Source organism: Homo sapiens, chromosome 12 (genome assembly GCF_000001405.40).
Source record: "Homo sapiens chromosome 12, GRCh38.p14 Primary Assembly".
NCBI lineage: Eukaryota > Metazoa > Chordata > Mammalia > Primates > Hominidae > Homo > Homo sapiens.
The window spans coordinates 10393873-10410146 of record NC_000012.12 but is presented as its reverse complement, the minus strand read 5'-3'; the positions used below and the strand labels follow the sequence as shown (position 1 = coordinate 10410146).

The 16274-nt window shown below is 33.8% G+C and overlaps 2 protein-coding genes and 1 long non-coding RNA gene across 3 annotated transcripts in view, besides 1 other annotated feature; 2 read left to right on the top strand and 1 right to left on the bottom strand.

Moving 5' to 3' along the window:
* Positions 1–16274, top strand: part of KLRC4-KLRK1 (KLRC4-KLRK1 readthrough) — a 37794-nt gene continuing 21520 nt past the window's right edge. Inside the window, exons 1-4 of the mRNA NM_001199805.1 lie at positions 1–48; positions 1137–1235; positions 1765–1818; positions 2358–2511. The gene's annotated coding sequence lies outside the window, so the exon portion shown is untranslated. The remainder of the gene's footprint in view (positions 49–1136; positions 1236–1764; positions 1819–2357; positions 2512–16274) is intronic.
* Positions 390–2763, top strand: KLRC4 (killer cell lectin like receptor C4). The gene is made up of 4 exons (NM_013431.2): positions 390–758; positions 1137–1235; positions 1765–1818; positions 2358–2763. Exons 1-4 carry the CDS (start codon positions 572–574, stop codon positions 2492–2494), a joined length of 477 nt encoding a protein of 158 aa, NP_038459.1. The 5' UTR covers positions 390–571; the 3' UTR covers positions 2495–2763.
* Positions 11641–16274, bottom strand: part of KLRK1-AS1 (KLRK1 antisense RNA 1) — a 34738-nt gene continuing 30104 nt past the window's right edge. The window contains exon 4 of the long non-coding RNA NR_120430.1: positions 11641–13968. This is a non-coding gene — a long non-coding RNA (KLRK1 antisense RNA 1). The remainder of the gene's footprint in view (positions 13969–16274) is intronic.
* Positions 13948–14589: an enhancer, noted in NCBI's record as "NANOG-H3K27ac hESC enhancer chr12:10548157-10548798 (GRCh37/hg19 assembly coordinates)". NCBI's record gives its function as "activates a minimal SCP1, AML or CMV promoter by ChIP-STARR-seq in primed H9 embryonic stem cells {active_cell/tissue: H9 hESC(primed)}" and the evidence as "EXISTENCE:reporter gene assay evidence [ECO:0000049][PMID:30033119]".

Below are 16274 nucleotides of genomic sequence, written 5' to 3'. Positions count from 1 at the left end.
AGAATAAAAAACATTTGCCAAGACCTCATGCCCTTTTAGTAAACGAATGTAAGTCACTAACTTAATGTATTTTAGTATTAAAAGTTGTTCTATATGCCAACAAATTATTCCTCCATCTTTAGCGCTCAATCCTTACATTAATGAATTTTAAAATTGTCATACAATTAGTGCATTTTATTTTCAAATTTCAATTTTAGTTTTTTACACAGGTATTCTATTGGTGATAAAATATTTCTGTAGAATCTGATTTTAAATTAATAAAGATATTTATATTCAGTTACTTCTTAGTTTTCACAAATGTATTGTTTTTTATTGTTCCCATTAATAATATTATGTCAAATATAGAAGGCCTTTTAAAAAGTGACCTATTGTTTAAAGAGATTTCAGTTTAAAACTTTAGGAAATTAGTACCAGACTTTTATATTGGTCAACAGCAAAATGAACATTACTACTCAGCCTCCAACACATGCAGTTTGCCTATACCAGGGATCCTGTCAAAATATACACCACTTATAGCTTCTTAAGTGCAGTTATCATAGAGCACAGTCCCTGACATCACACAGCTGCAGAGATGAATAAACAAAGAGGAACCTACTCAGAAGTGAGTCTGGCCCAGGACCCAAAGAGGCAGCAAAGGAAACTTAAGGGCAATAAAATCTCCATTTCAGGAACCAAACAGGAAATATTCCAAGTAGAATTAAACCTTCAAAATGCTTCTTCGGATCATCAAGGGAATGACAAGACATATCACTGCAAAGGTAAAACATTAAATAGATCTTCAATATTATTGTTCTAGGATGTGCAGTTGAATGCAGAAAGGTGGGGAAAGATTAGGGAATATTTTGCACTTGTGAGAATCAGAGGTCAAAGTCAGGATCTAATATTCTAATATGAAATCTGAAGCCTGATTTTATTCAGGCATTGTTCAATTGTAATTTGTGATTAACAACTCATGGAGCATTATATTTACTGATAATGAAATGGTATATTCTGAGAGAAAGATTACTAGAGTAGATGTAGATTTAGAGGACAGAGTTTATCATTATGTTTTCCTGTGCACGTGAGTTCTCTTGTACGTAAACCTTCTCATCAACTCTCTATCTCCCCTCTCTCAGTGCCTCTTTCTCTCCCTGCAGGTTTACTGCCACCTCCAGAGAAGCTCACTGCTGAGGTCCTAGGAATCATTTGCATTGTCCTGATGGCCACTGTGTTAAAAACAATAGTTCTTATTCCTTGTAAGCATATTCTTGAAAGATTATAAGGGAACTTTTCACTATAATGATTGGAAGCGCCTTGAAACATTTCATAATAATGAGGATTAGAATTCTCTGTTTAATGTATATCTCTGAACCCCAAGATAATATGCTGCTTCTGAACTTTTCAAATTTATAAATAACAGAATAATTGTAGAAAACATTTATTTTTTTGTGTGTACTAAATATATATGTATATATGATACACACACAGAGAGATGTATTCTGATTTCATGACTCAAAGACATGTTTTAAGAGAAAAAATATTTAGAAAAACAAATTAATTTTTGAAAGTGGTTAGATCAAATACTATAAGAGATGGTGAAGTTTTATGCTAATGGCTTTAAAAATATTTGTTTTAAAGATCTCATTATTTTTATAGAAAAGTCATTTTTATTTCAGATTGTTCCAATTTAAAATAATTTTAAATTTTGTATTTCAAAGTAAGCAACTGAATTTATTATAATTTGTCTAGATATTAATTTTGTAAGAATCACTTTAATTTTTCTAGGTATTGGAGTACTGGAGCAGAACAATTTTTCCCTGAATAGAAGAATGCAGAAAGGTACATTATGATTGTCAATGTTCTGATGTTAGTACAGTTTATATTTTGTCTCTAAAGGGATGCAAAATGATAATAAAATGTTTTGGGAAAATAAACTATAACAATGAGCCATAAATGTTTATAAAATAAAGATTATATGAGGGCATGTCCTTTTCTCCAATAATAAGTAGAAATGCTCAGTTAAAATCATTATACCCTCTTGTTGCATTTAATTAACTGAAATTTCCTACTACTATAAGATGATAAGAGATAAATAATTTTACTATACTTAAAAAGCAGTTTTGTTCAGTGATGTTTAAGATGTGTAGGGTGGATTTTTGTTGGCGGGCTTGTTTTGTATGGGAACACAATTAAGGGATGAGAGGTGGACCTTTTATTGTGCATGTGCGTATGAGTGACTCGTTATTTTAAAATATATATTTAACAACTTATGAGGATGCAGATATTGTGTACCTGTATGTTTATAGCTTTGCAAATATATAAAATAATTTTCATTTGTAAACATATTGTTTTGCATAGTAATTCATATTTTTATTTAGCACGTCATTGTGGCCATTGTCCTGAGGAGTGGATTACATATTCCAACAGTTGTTATTACATTGGTAAGGAAAGAAGAACTTGGGAAGAAAGAGTTTGCTGGCCTGTGCTTCGAAGAACTCTGATCTGCTTTCTATAGATAATGAGGAAGAAATGGTAAGACGTAAATGTTTCAACACTTTACTAAAAGCTTATTTCTGTCAATATCATATTTGTAGAAATCATCCATATGTTTATACATATATTTACTTCATATATTTTTAAGTCTGTGTAGTATTCAACTGACTTCATAATATTTTTATATTCATATACTGTTAATGCACATTTGGTTATTTCCAGTTTTGCTTTTCATGGAAACCCATGCTTCTATAAATGTTTTTATCACAAAATAAATATAAAGAAAACTAAGCATGTCATGGTCATGCATATTGATCACAAAGTGAATGGATTCATGATACAGGGCAGATCATGAAATAGAAGTTTCCAGCCCCAGCAGTCCTGCTCCTGTGTATGCCTTCCTCACTTTTCCTGCCTCCTCTCCAAACCTTTGTATTGATGTTTAATGTGATAAATAAGCTTTGCCTGTTCCAGAATTTATGTCAAGGGAATCATACAATGTGTATTTTCATGTGTGTCTTCTTTTACTCCTATATGATATTTGTGCAATAATGCAGTTAGCTGTTGTTTGTTGCTTTTCATTGCTGCATGATGTGCATAGAACATTTACAATCTGTTCAGTCCTGTGTCTCTGGATGGGGAAGTGAGTCTCGTGCCCTCAGGAACAAAGAGGAACCTGGATGGGCACGTGTAGTCATGCGGTTCCTTTGCTGATCCCTCTCACCGCACCTACCCTGATGTCTTTTGGTTTGGGAGGAGAAGCACTTCCTCTAGCTCCTAACTGGTAGCAGGCCTCCTGGTAGGTCATCCTTGCCAGTGGTACCAGGCTTGCCTAATGTTGCTGGCAGGACTCCCTTTCAATACAGAGTGGGAATGGGCTTAGCTGACCCACCTCCTGTTACCAGATTTGGTTCTGAGAAACAGAGGACTAGATCACTTTCTTCTGCTGAGTGGGGGACTGAAGATGCCCGGACACTCTGTTGATCCCTGATTCTGGGGTCCCAAACTATTTTGCCTTCCTCTTTCCACCTTTCAGAGTTTTCCTGTGTGTCTTTCATTACTTGCAGAGTTTAGAGTTGTATTTATTAGGGAGTAGCAGAGAAAAAGGAGTCCATGTACCTGGTCAAGACCATTGTTATTCCACCAAAACCAAATCAGATAAAAGTGAGGGCTTATCTAGTTAGAGAGTGGTGTGGTGCCCAGAAAAGCCAATTTTTGGCTGCTGTGTCATTTATTTCCTCAATGGCAACCTTTCAATTTCCTTCTAAACTTCAAGGAGGAAAAGTTCCACTATGAGACACATAGTGGAAAAATACATTTATTTAATCAGAATATCTGGAGAAATACATGCACAGTATCAGGAAATTTATTTCAGTTCTTACTGTGTCTGTCTTACCAACACAAGCAACTGTTAAATTACATGAATCACAATTTTGCTTGTTAAAATAAGAAGAATGAATGTACTAAGTATAAAAATTGAAGAGTTCATTTTAAGTCAAAATTACAAAAATTTGTAATAGCTTTTTACACTATAAAAGTTGTTTTCAAGTTTACTATTTTGTTTAAGGTATTTATTTTGTTTTGAAAATTAAGCATCCTTTGAAAGAATGTATTACCTGCACTTTTAAAAATTAATAAAAGTTTAGAATTCAAAGAAAGCACCTAAAAATTAGTAAAATCTTTTATAGTTATTATTTAAATGAAAATTTTTTATTTTTCGTTAGAAATTTCTGGGCTCCCTGTCAGTTCTCTCATGGGTTGGCATCTCTCGTAGTAGCAGTGATCATCCATGGGTGTCAATAAATGGCTCAACGTTCAAATTGAAGTAAGTTTTTTGAATGATGCTATATAGTAGAAGAATATAAAAGGACAGGTTCAGAATAACATTATGAATAAATTTAAGTGCAATTATAGCCATAAATAAAGATGTTGAAAGTTAGTGAAATGTTGATATAAATGTTAAGGAATGATCCACAATTACATTTTCTGTGGTTTTAGTTACCCAGGCTCAACCACGGCCAAAAATATTAAAAGGAAAACTCTAGGAAGAGAAAATCCATGAGTTTTAAATTGTTCACTCTTCTGAGTAGTGTGATCAAATCCTTTATATAGTGTATGGCTCCATCTCACCTGGGACATGAATCATTGCTTCGTCCAGGATACCTGCACAGCCTAAGTTCCCTGTCCATTAGTCACTCAGCTGTCGCAGTTATGAGATTGACTAAGGTGGTATGGTACCGCTTGTGTTCAAGTCACTCTTAGTTTACTTAATAAGGGCCCCAAAATGCAAGAGTATTTATGCTGGCATATTGTTATAATTGTTCTTTTTCATTATTATTAGTTTGTTTTAATCTCTTACCGTGCCTAATTTATAAATTAAACTTCATCAAAGGTATGTATGTATAGATAAAACACAGTATATATACAGTTCAGTACTATCTATGATTTCAGACATCCACTGGGGGTCTTAGAACATATCCACTGTGCAGATGAAAGGACTACTTCATTCAGTTTTCATATTATGATATGCAGTTTTCCCAGCATTATTTTTGAAGAGACTATCTTTTTTTTCCAATGTATGTTCCTGGCACCTTTGTCAAAAGTGAGTTGTCTGTAAACAAATGGATTTGTTTCTGGATTCATTGGTCTGTATGTCTGTTTTAATATGAGCACCATGCTGTTTTGGTTTCTGTAGCTTTGTAGTATATTCAGGTAATGTGATGCCTCCAGCTTTGATATTTTGCTCAGAATTGCTTTGGCTATACTGGATGTTTTGTGGTTCCATATAAATTTGAGGATTGCTTTTGCTATTTCTGTGAAGAATGTCACTGGCATTTTGATACAGATTGCATTGAATCTGGACTAGCTAAGGTTTTATTTTGAATGTTGAATAGAAGGCACAGAAAGGTTATATGTATATCATATGTATCAGTTCCTATTTTAGGTAAAAAGATTGCAACATTTCATCCATATTTACAAAGTGTGTTCGTTTTTATTATACCTTTCTCATATTGAAGCAGCTTTATCATATTCCTGTTTTTCTAATAGATTTTGTTATCAATTGTAACATTTTTATTATTTTGGCATCAGTTGGAATGATACATGTTTTCTCTGCATAATCTTAATAAGTAAACTATTTCAATTCTCTCAAATGTTAAACCAGTCTGAAATAAAACCATACTGGTCATTCTGTATTGCCTGTTTAAATTTATTAATGCACAGGAGATTATACTGTGTTTTTATTTATAGCTATGTACATGAAAGCCTTTTCTCTTAAGGGTATATTGGGAAGCATTTCTCTTTTTCTATAACCTAGAAGACTTTGTGTAAGGGTACTGTTTTAAAATGTAATTATTCATTAGTGATGCCATCTGAGTGTGTAGAATGTTTTTGTAGGAAAGTTTATGTAGGAAAGTCAATTTCTTTAGCACATACAGACATTTCATCCATATTTACAAAGTTTATATTTATAGAGGTTACTCAGATTTCTGTTTGTTGTATTGCAATTTGGTAATTTGCATATTCAAGAATTTTCTATCTCATATAGATATAAAAGTATTCATAATATGGTTTCATTATCTGTTTAATATCTGTAAAAACCATAATGGTTTTCCCTTATTTAATCTAGAAAATTATTTGAGCCTTCTCAAATTCTTTAAGTCTTTTATCAATTTTATTAAGTCCTTTCAATGAAAATATCTTCAGCCTCATTGATCTTCTCTACTGTAATTTTGCTCTTTGTCATGATTTTTTACTATTTATTGTTTTCTTCCTACCACTTTACTTCTATTTAATTTCAGTTAATTTCATATTTCTGTTTTTATTCAGACAATTCAGTATCTGCAATTTTGTTGCAATATATGAATTTAAGGCAATCCATTTTTCCCAAGAAAATATTTTGCTCTATTTTCCTTTTAATTGATGTAAAAATTGTGAACATTTATTGTGATAATTTATTTGGCCCTTAGGTTATTTAGAATTATATTACTGAATATAAAACCATATAAAGTTCCTAAAGTTTTGATTATTGACTTCTGTGTTAGTAAACTGTAGTTAGAACATTTTCTGTGAGGCTAGAAATGTTCTTCATCTCTGTGTAAATATAGCTAGTGTGACTAATAAACTTATGTTTAATGTTATTTACTTCTAATTAATTAATATTAAACTTGAATTGGTGCATTTTAACTGTCCACTGGCCAACTTTGGCTAATGCTACTGTACTTATAGCAAACTTCTAAATTTTATATTAAAATGCATAGGTTTATGAAAATACAGTGTAGCTTAAAAATATTAGTATTCCGAATTAGTATACAGTTTATATGTGTGTGTATACACAGGTGTGTTGGCTAATTGTCTAGTTTAAATCTCTGTATAGAGTCAGTGATGTATCTGTTTGTGTGATGAGATGTGAAAGAGAAGTGACTAAATCCCTAAATTTATTAATTACTCATTTATTTCTTTCAACTTTATATTAAATGTGTATTATTAGGTACATACAAATTATTTTAAAATTACTAATGGTATAGATAATAAATATATCACTATGAATATGCTTCTTCATTTTTAATAACAACTTCTGTTTTATATTATTACAGTATATTAAAGTGGTTTTCTACCAGTTTGTGTTGCATGGTATATTTTTTCCATTTTTCATCTTCATATTTTTTATGTTTATGTTAAAGGAGTATTTTTATGAGTATCTCATAAAGACAGCAAACTACTATTTTTAAATACAAGCACTTTGTAACAAATCAAAATCATTCCATATGTATTTGTTAAATTTTAAAATAATTATTTATATTTTCAATTGTATGTATAAACGTGTAAATATAATATGTTTATTGACTGTAATATTATATTATTTCATTTCAGTTAAACACTTCCAATTCTTGACCTCTCTTTTTCTTAACTTTTATATTAAGCTCTGGAGTACCTATGCAGGTTTGCTATATAGTTAAACTCGTGTCACGGGTTTGTTGAACAGACTATTTTGTCATCCAGGTATGAATCCTAGTACCCATTAATTACTTTTCCTGATCCCTTTCTTCCCCCACCCTCTACCCTCAGGTAGGCCACAGTGTCTGTTATTTACCTCTATGTGCCCATGTGTTCTCATCATTTAGCTCCACTTATAAGTGAGAACATGCAGTATTTGGTTTTCTGTTTCTGTGTTAATTGGCTTAGAATAATGGCCTTCCACTGCATCCATGTTGCTGCAAAGGACATAATCTTGTTCTTTTTTTATGACTGCCTAGTATTTCATGGTGTGTATGTACCACATTGTCTTCATCCAGCCTATCCTTGATGGGCATTTAGGGAGATTCCATGTCTTTGCTATTATGAAGAATGCTGTGATGAACACGCAAGTGCATGTGTCTTTTGGGGGATATACCCAGTAGTAAGATTGGTGGATCAAATGGTAGTTCTAAGTTCGCTGAGAAATCTCTGGACTGCCTTCCTCAGTGGCTGGACTAATTTACATTCATACCTTCAGTGTGTAAGTGTTCCCTTTTCTCCAAAGCCTTGCCAACATCAGTTGTCTTTGACATTTTAGTAATAGTCCTTCTGACTGGTGTTAGATGGAATCTCATTTCAGCTTTGATTTGCATTTCTCTGATAATTATGTTTCATATTTTTTTCATGTGTTTTTTGGCCGCTTGTATGTCTTCTTTTGAGAATTGTCTGTTATGTCTTTTGCCTATTTTAATGGGATTATTTATTATTTGATTATTTAATTGTTCCTCATAGATTCTGGATATTGGACCTTTGTCAAGTGCATAGTTTGCAAATATTTTTCCCATTCTGTAGGTTGTCTGTTTATAGGAGCTTAAAGTTTCTTTTGCTGTGCACAAGTTGAGCTTATTTTGTATGTGGTATGAGGTATAGATCAAAATATTTTGTGTGTGCATATTGATAGCCAAGTGTTTAAACATTTGTTAAAAAGATTATACTTTCTCCACTGAATGCCTTTACATCTTTCTTGAACTATTCTACATTCCATATATTTGTGGATACATTTTTGCACTTTGTAGTCTATTTGATTAATCTAGGTATCTATTTATATACTGGTTCCACATCTTGTGAAAATTGAGAGAAAGCTACAGAGACTTCCCATGGTCCTCACTCATGCACTACTTCTCCCATGATCAATATCCCCCATCAGCATGGTATATTTGTTACAATTGAAACATCATTATTATTGAAAGACCATAGCTTATGTTAAGTTTCACTCAGTGTTTTACACTTTATGGGTCTGGCCAAATATATAATGATAATGACATGTCTTTATCATCATAGATCATACAGAATAATTGCATTGCCCTGAAAATCTTCTGTGCTCTGCCCATTCATCCTTTCCTCCTTCAAACACATGGCAAGCATCGATTTTTGTACTGTCTCCATAGTTGTTTACTTTTCCAGAATGTCATATAGTTGAACTCATACAGTATGTTACATCTGAGCCATTACATCTTAACCATATCATATATCTCAACCATTTTTAAGTGAACAGGTCAGTAGTGTTAACTATATTCACATTTTACAACAGATTTCTAGAATTTGTTCATTTTGCAAAACTGAAACTCTATACACATTGGACAACTCCCCTTTTTGCCCCTAGCAATCAGCATTCTACTTTCTGTTTCTATGAGTTTGAATACTTTAGATATCTCATATAAATAAAGCAGGCAGCATTTTTTTTGTGTGACTGGCTTATTTAACTTAGCATAATGTCCTTAAGATTTATCCATGTTGCAGCATGCAACAAGACTTCCTTTTTTAAAATAAAGTATATTATCCTTTTTAAAAATGTTTAAACAACTTTATTGAAGTATGATTGACATACAAAAAGCTGTACATATTTAATGCATACAACTTGATAAGATTAGAGATAAGTGTATAACCATGAAACCACCACAATCTGTGTCATAAACATATCTGTAATCTCCAGAAGTTTCCTTCCACCTTCTTTATTATTATTTTTTGTGATACAAACACTTAAGATCTACGCTCTTAGCCAAATCTTTAGTATACAACATTATTAACTACAGGTTCTGTGTAGTAAAACAGATATCTAGACCTTGTTCATCTCGTATAACTGAAAGTTTGTACCCTTTGACTAATACTCTCCTGTTTTTCCCTCTCCCAGCCCCTGACAACCACCCTTCTACTCCCTGCTTCTATGAATTTACTATTATTTTACTCAGCATAATGTCCTTCAGGTTTATCCATGTTGTTGCAATAGCTTTTTCTTCTTTTTAATGGCAGAATTGTATTCCATTTTATACACATGCCACATTTTCTTTATCCACCAATTCATCAATGGGCTTGTATGTTGCTTCTATGTTTTAACTGTTGCAATGAACATGGGAGTGCCGATACCTGTTCAAGTTCCTGATCTCAACTCCTTTGGCTCTACAGAAGTAAGATTGTTGGTTCATATGTCAACTCAATTTTAAATTTTTTGAGGAACCTCCATAATGTTTTCCATAGTGACTGTACCATTTTACATTTTCATTAACAGTGCACAAGGGCCCAAATTTCTTCACAACCTAAGCAATAATTGTTATTTTCTGCTTTTTTCATAGCGGCCATGCTAATGGGTATGAAGTGATATTTAACAGTGGTTTTGATTTATGTTTTTCTGATGATAGTAATGTTGAGCATCTTTTCATATGCTTATTGGACATTTGTATATCTTCTTTGGAGAAATATCTATTTGAATCCTTTGTCCATTTTTAAATAGGGTTATTAGGGTTTTTGTCATTGGATTACATAAGTTCTTAATATATTCTGGATATTAATCCCTTATTAGATACATGATTTTGTTGCTTCAATCATTTGCTCTGCAGACATTTTTAAGTCTGATGTAATCCCATTTGCCTATTTTTTGCTTTTGTTGGCTGTGATTTGGGTGTTTTATCAAGAAATGATTGCTAAATCCAATTTCATGAAGCTTTCCTCACATGTTTTCTTCTAGAAGTTTTACAGTTTTGGATCTTATCATTAAGTCTTCAATACATTATGAGTTAATATTTGTAGATGGTGTAATGTAAGGCTTTGATTTCACTCTTTTGCATATGTTTAGCCAGTTTTCTCAACACTATTTCTGGAAGATACTGCCCTTTTCCCATTGAATGGTCTTGGCACTCTTATTGAAAATCACTAGTCCATATGTACCGACGTTTATTTCTGGATGTATTAAGTTGTTGTTTCTATGGGGAGCAAGTGCTGGGGTATGCTATTCCTCTATCTTGTTGATGTTGCCTCCTTCCAATCTAGAATAGTATTCAGGGCAAATGTGGGTTCTCTGGAAGGTAATGTGGTCAAAATACTCCTGCTGGTGGGGGATACCTCAACCATTCCCTGGCATTCACACAGACTCAAGTCATCTCATAATCCGTCCTACCTGTTCCACAAGATTATCTCAGGGTCTTTGTCTTAAAATCCTCTTCAATCATTTGATTATGATGTTTTGAGATGGGGATTTCTACATGCTGATTCTATTAGTCATTAGTTTGCTTAGCATCTTGGATGTATACATTTTTAAAAAAGCAAATTTGAAAAGTTTTTAAGTCAGTTTTGTCTTAATATTATTTTTCTACATCTTTCTGTATTCTCTTTTTCTCTGGGATGAATAATTTCTATTAATATATCCCAAAGTTGATGAATTCTTCCTTTTGAATCTCAATTTTTTTTCTAGCCAATTTAGTGAATTTTTCGTTTCAAGTAATGTACTTCTCAACTCAGAATTTGGTTTATTTCTTGGTTTTCATTTCTCTGACAAAATTTCCTACTTGTTTTCTCATTGCCATCATATTTTCATTTAATTAATTGAACATACTTTTCTGTATAATTTAAGTACATTTATAATAGTTACTTTAAAATATATTTTCTGATAAATCTACCATCTTGTCCCAGAAAAAGTCAGATTTTATTGACTGATTGTCTTTCCCTCCAAGTATGGAAGACATTTTCCAGTTTCTGCATGTTTTCTAATTTCTTATAATAGACATTTTTTATAATATAGTATCATACAAATAAATTTGGGGGGTTTATAAAGATTTTGGGGGGGTAACTTACATAAAATTTTACTGCAGAATCTTTCTCCTTTAAAATGCATTTGCTGATGTTTTTGTTTCAAATTCTAATTTTTTATTTTTATTTTTTAGCCCCATTTCCTAGGGATTGCCCTTGTGAATTGCATAGCTTGGTTGTCAGCCAATATATTATTTTAAAAGGTTTATTCGAAAACCTTAAGTTAGTAGAGGCTCCACTCTGTGCTAGCGGTGTGTGTGTGTGTGTGTGTGTGTGTGTGTGGTGAAGGAAGTGTTCATAAATTTGCAATCAGTTCTCAAGTCTCCTTGGGCTTTTACTTTTTACTGGAATCACCCTGGTCTCCTCTACACATATGCATATTTTTTTCAATAATCAAGAATAAAATCCTGTCATTTATACAACATGGATGAACCTGCTGAGCATCATGTTAAGTGAAATAAGGCAGATACAGAAAGACAAATATCACATAATCTCACTCATGTAGAAATAAAGCAAAAAAGAGCTGATATTATAGAAGCAGAGCGATCACCAGAAAAACACCAGAACAGTGGTCAACAGAGACTGGAGGAGAGAAAAAGAGGGGGACAGGGTGAGAGCTTGGTCAATGGGTACAAAGTTATAGTTAGGTAGGAGGAATAAGTTCTGTTCTATTGCATAGTAGGGTGATGATGGTTAACAGTAAGATATTGCATATTACAAAATAGCTAGAACAGAGGCTTTTGAACGTTCTCACCACAAAGAAATGATAAATACATGAGGTAGACAGATACACTAAATACCCTGATTTGATTATTTAATGTAACATATATATGTATTGAACATCAAGTTGTACCCCATAAATATGTACAATTACAATGTGTCAATTTAAAAAAAAATTTAAAGAATATGTAGAGGGCTAATGTCATGAGGTCTATTGCACTCTCATGTTTAGGATTTTGTTATATTTATGGCTGGCACTGTTCTTGCCCCAGAGGAGACTACACCTCAGACTAAAAAAAATAAAAAACAACAAAAAATGGGGTTTTCTCATTCATTTCCTGCAAAATTCAGCACTTTCAGTTGAAAAGCAGTGGTCTGTTACACTATGCCCCAACCTCTGACCGCTAATCAAGTCTGTCCTTGTGGCAAAAAACACTGTTGATTTTCCCCCAGCTGTAAAAACTGCAACTGTTACTCACTGTGCTGGGTGTGGTGGGTGGGCAGAAGGCACGGGAGCAGCACTAGGTAAACTTACTACAAATTTGCTGCACTCTTCCTTGAATCTCTAGCAGTTTTTCCAAGAATAAATAGTTCACAAATGATTATTAGCCTTTGATCAATTTCCAGGGCCTCGGAATTGCTTTGTTAATTTGTCCTCTTCATTCAGTCACAGCAATACATTTGTATGTGTTCAGTGCGTAACACTCATTATCTTAGTGAATTGAAAGACTGAAAAGTAACAAGAATTAGCTTTGCTATTACAAAATTTAAATTAGTATAATAGTATTGATTTTGCATCTCATAAAATTTGTTTTCTTATACAAATTCTCAAACTCTGCCAGTAATTTTTTATGGATTGCAGTCTCCCGCAAAACCAATAATCATTTGCAGGTGTGGCCAAATGGCCCAGCTTTCTATTGCAAACACTAATCTTCTTGAGAACGTCTATATTTTATACCTAGAAGGAATAACATTACAAAGAAAAGAGCAATATGTGAACAATTGTATAAATATTTGTTTCCATAGACAAATTATATAGAAAATATTCAGATTTAGATACGTAACTATTAAATAAGTCATCTATTCATAAAAAAATTGTTATATATTACCAGTATTAGCAATACATTTCCAATATCTTCAGAGAGGAACAAGAACTGTGCACATCTGAATTTTTACAAAGACAAACTTCTTTTGAATTTTGTTCGGAAATAAAAACATGCTTGTAAACACCAGCTTATAAACATGCTTATAAACACTTAAGTGTTATAGCTTACACAAACTTAATATAACATTACTCCCACCATCTGTAAAGAACATACTTCTAGTTGCTTCAAAAGCCATACAATTAGGTTCTTCGAACTATTTTTAAATCTTTACATTATTTTAAAAATACATATCCAGGTACATACTCTTTCTTTCTTTGAGACAGAGGCTCGCTCTGTCACCCGTGCAGTGGCAGTCTCGGCTCACTGAGATCTCAGCCTTCCAGGCTCAAGCAATTCTTCGGCCTCCACCTCCGAAGTAGCTGGGACTACAGGCACTCACCACCATGCCTGGCTAATTTTTCGTAGAGATGGGGTTTCGCCATGTTGGCTACGCTGGTCTCAAACTCCTTACCGCAAGCAATCTGTCCACCTCGGCCTCCCAAACTGCTGAGATTACAGGCGTGAGGGATTGTAGGCGTGAGGGATTACAGGCATGAGCCACCGCGCCCTGCTATGTTACTTATTTCTTAAACACCTGCAATTCATTAAAATACACCATGTATAAATTATAAATCATAATATTATCAAGAACTGTTATTTCTAAGTGCTGAATAAAATGAATATTTCCACGATGAATTAATTTCTTCTAGTCTTTGAAGGTGTTTAAAATGACAATTCAACAATTGTGGGTGGCCCTAGGACAGGGCAGTTCTAAAACTAGCAAGTTGAAATTGGCGAGGATGGATCTCACGCTGTGACTGGCCAGGAGGAAGAGTTTTCATTCCAGAGTGCTGGAGCTAGATACCGGAAGGCATGTAACAGGGATCCGGACAGCTAACAAAAACTTGCTGGAGGGTAAATACCGCAGGATGTTATGCAAACATGCAGCTGGTAGCCACAGTCATAGGAGCAAAAGGAGAGAAAGTATCATAAAACCAGGAAGAAAAACCCTTTTTCCTCCAGACTACACACTGCCTTTTAGGGACAAAATTTATCATATAAGCTGGCAAGGGAGAAATTTTATGGGCTCTGCTTTCATTATGGTAGAGCAGGATGGTGAAGGATAGATTTGAAACTAAGAGGCAATAAATTGGTAATAAACACACAAGGTTACTATGCAGCAACCACAATGTTGCTATATAACAATAACAGCCATTTAGATACACCCCACTTCCTCAGAGAAGGAAACCAACATTACATTCTAAATCTGTTCTAGTGTAGCATTGTCAGTAATTAGTTCTCCTTTCTGGTAGAGATTGGTATTTCCACTGAGAAATAGTTTTCTTTGTTAATATCACAGTTCCACGTAAAAACATCATTTGCTTCTATGGCATGTGGCCCTTAACCATTTGTGCCTGTTCTAGCCCCATTAATATCAAATTCATTATCTTCTGAGTAGGTCACATTGTCTGCTCAAAGCATGGAAACCCTGCCTTGTTAACCTCTTCCTTAAAACCCCTCAAAGGCTTTTTACTGACTACATGGTACTATCAAACAACATAGCTTAGATTATAAATCTTTCTTCTCACTTGAAGGGGTGGCCTGCCCCTCCACACCTGTATTTCTAGTCGGGTGGGACGAGAGACTGAGAAAAGAAATAAGACAGAGACAAAGTATAGAGAAACAACAGTGGGCCCAGGGGACTGGCGCTCAGCATACCAAGGAGCTGCAGTGGGCACTGGTCTCTGAGTTCCCTCAGTTTTTATTGATTATTATCTTCATTCTTTCAGCAAAAAGGAATGTAGTAGGAGGGCAGGGTGATAATAAGGAAAAAAACATGTGAGCAATAGAATCTACGTCATAATTAAGTTCAAGGGAAGGTACTATGACTGGACGTGCACGTAAGCCAGATTTATGTTTCTCTCCACCCAAACATCTCAGTGGAGTAAAGAATAACAAGGCAGCATTGCTGCAAACGTGTCTCGCCTCCCACCATAGGGTGGTTTTTCCCCCATCTCAGAATTGAACAAATGTACAATCGGGTTTTATACCGACACATTCAGTTCCCAGGGGCAGGCAGGAGACAGTGGCCTTCCTCCCTTTCTACACAGACACAGTAACAGTCTGATCTCTCTTTCTTTTCCCTACATCACTCACACCCTTTCTTGTGGTTCCAGGTTGCCCCAGGCTGTTTTCATCTCCAGCTCTTCATAACGCCACTTAATAAACCAACAATACTGGACTGCATATAGCATTTTTTATTCATTTTAATGTCTCTCTTCTATGTTTTAGAGATTTCTGTCTTTGGTATTTTGTATGTTTTAACAACATTACCTTGATTTCTAACGTTTTTTTTTTAATCTCCAGAAATCACCCAATCTAGGACACCTTCTCTAACACCATTTTCTCACATTTAATACTGGAGACCTATTAGAAAATTGTCCTTTATAATACTATCATTTAAAACACCCAGAGTTTGTGTCTACCGTTGTGAATTACATACTAATTTAAAACCATCTGCTTCTGTGTATGCCTTAAATAGAGTGTGGACAACTAGATGATAGGAACTGTGCTTTATACTTTATTGAACTTTGTTTATTCATGGCCAAACAATATGCTTGCTCCATAATAGATAAAAGCTCAATAAATAAATATAGAATGATATTATGAAAATATCAGTAATTTCCTATTTACTTATTTTTGTTAAGCTTTGGTACTATTACTTCTATGTCAAATTATGAAGACAACATTATTACAGTGCAGAAAAACGCCAGGACCTCTTGGCTAAGACCTCAAGAGGAACATTGTAAGATTTTAGTAGTGATTTTTATATTCGCCAAAATATAATGCAAGCGTTGTAGACTTTTAACCACTTGCATTTTTTATTCCTTTGCACACAAA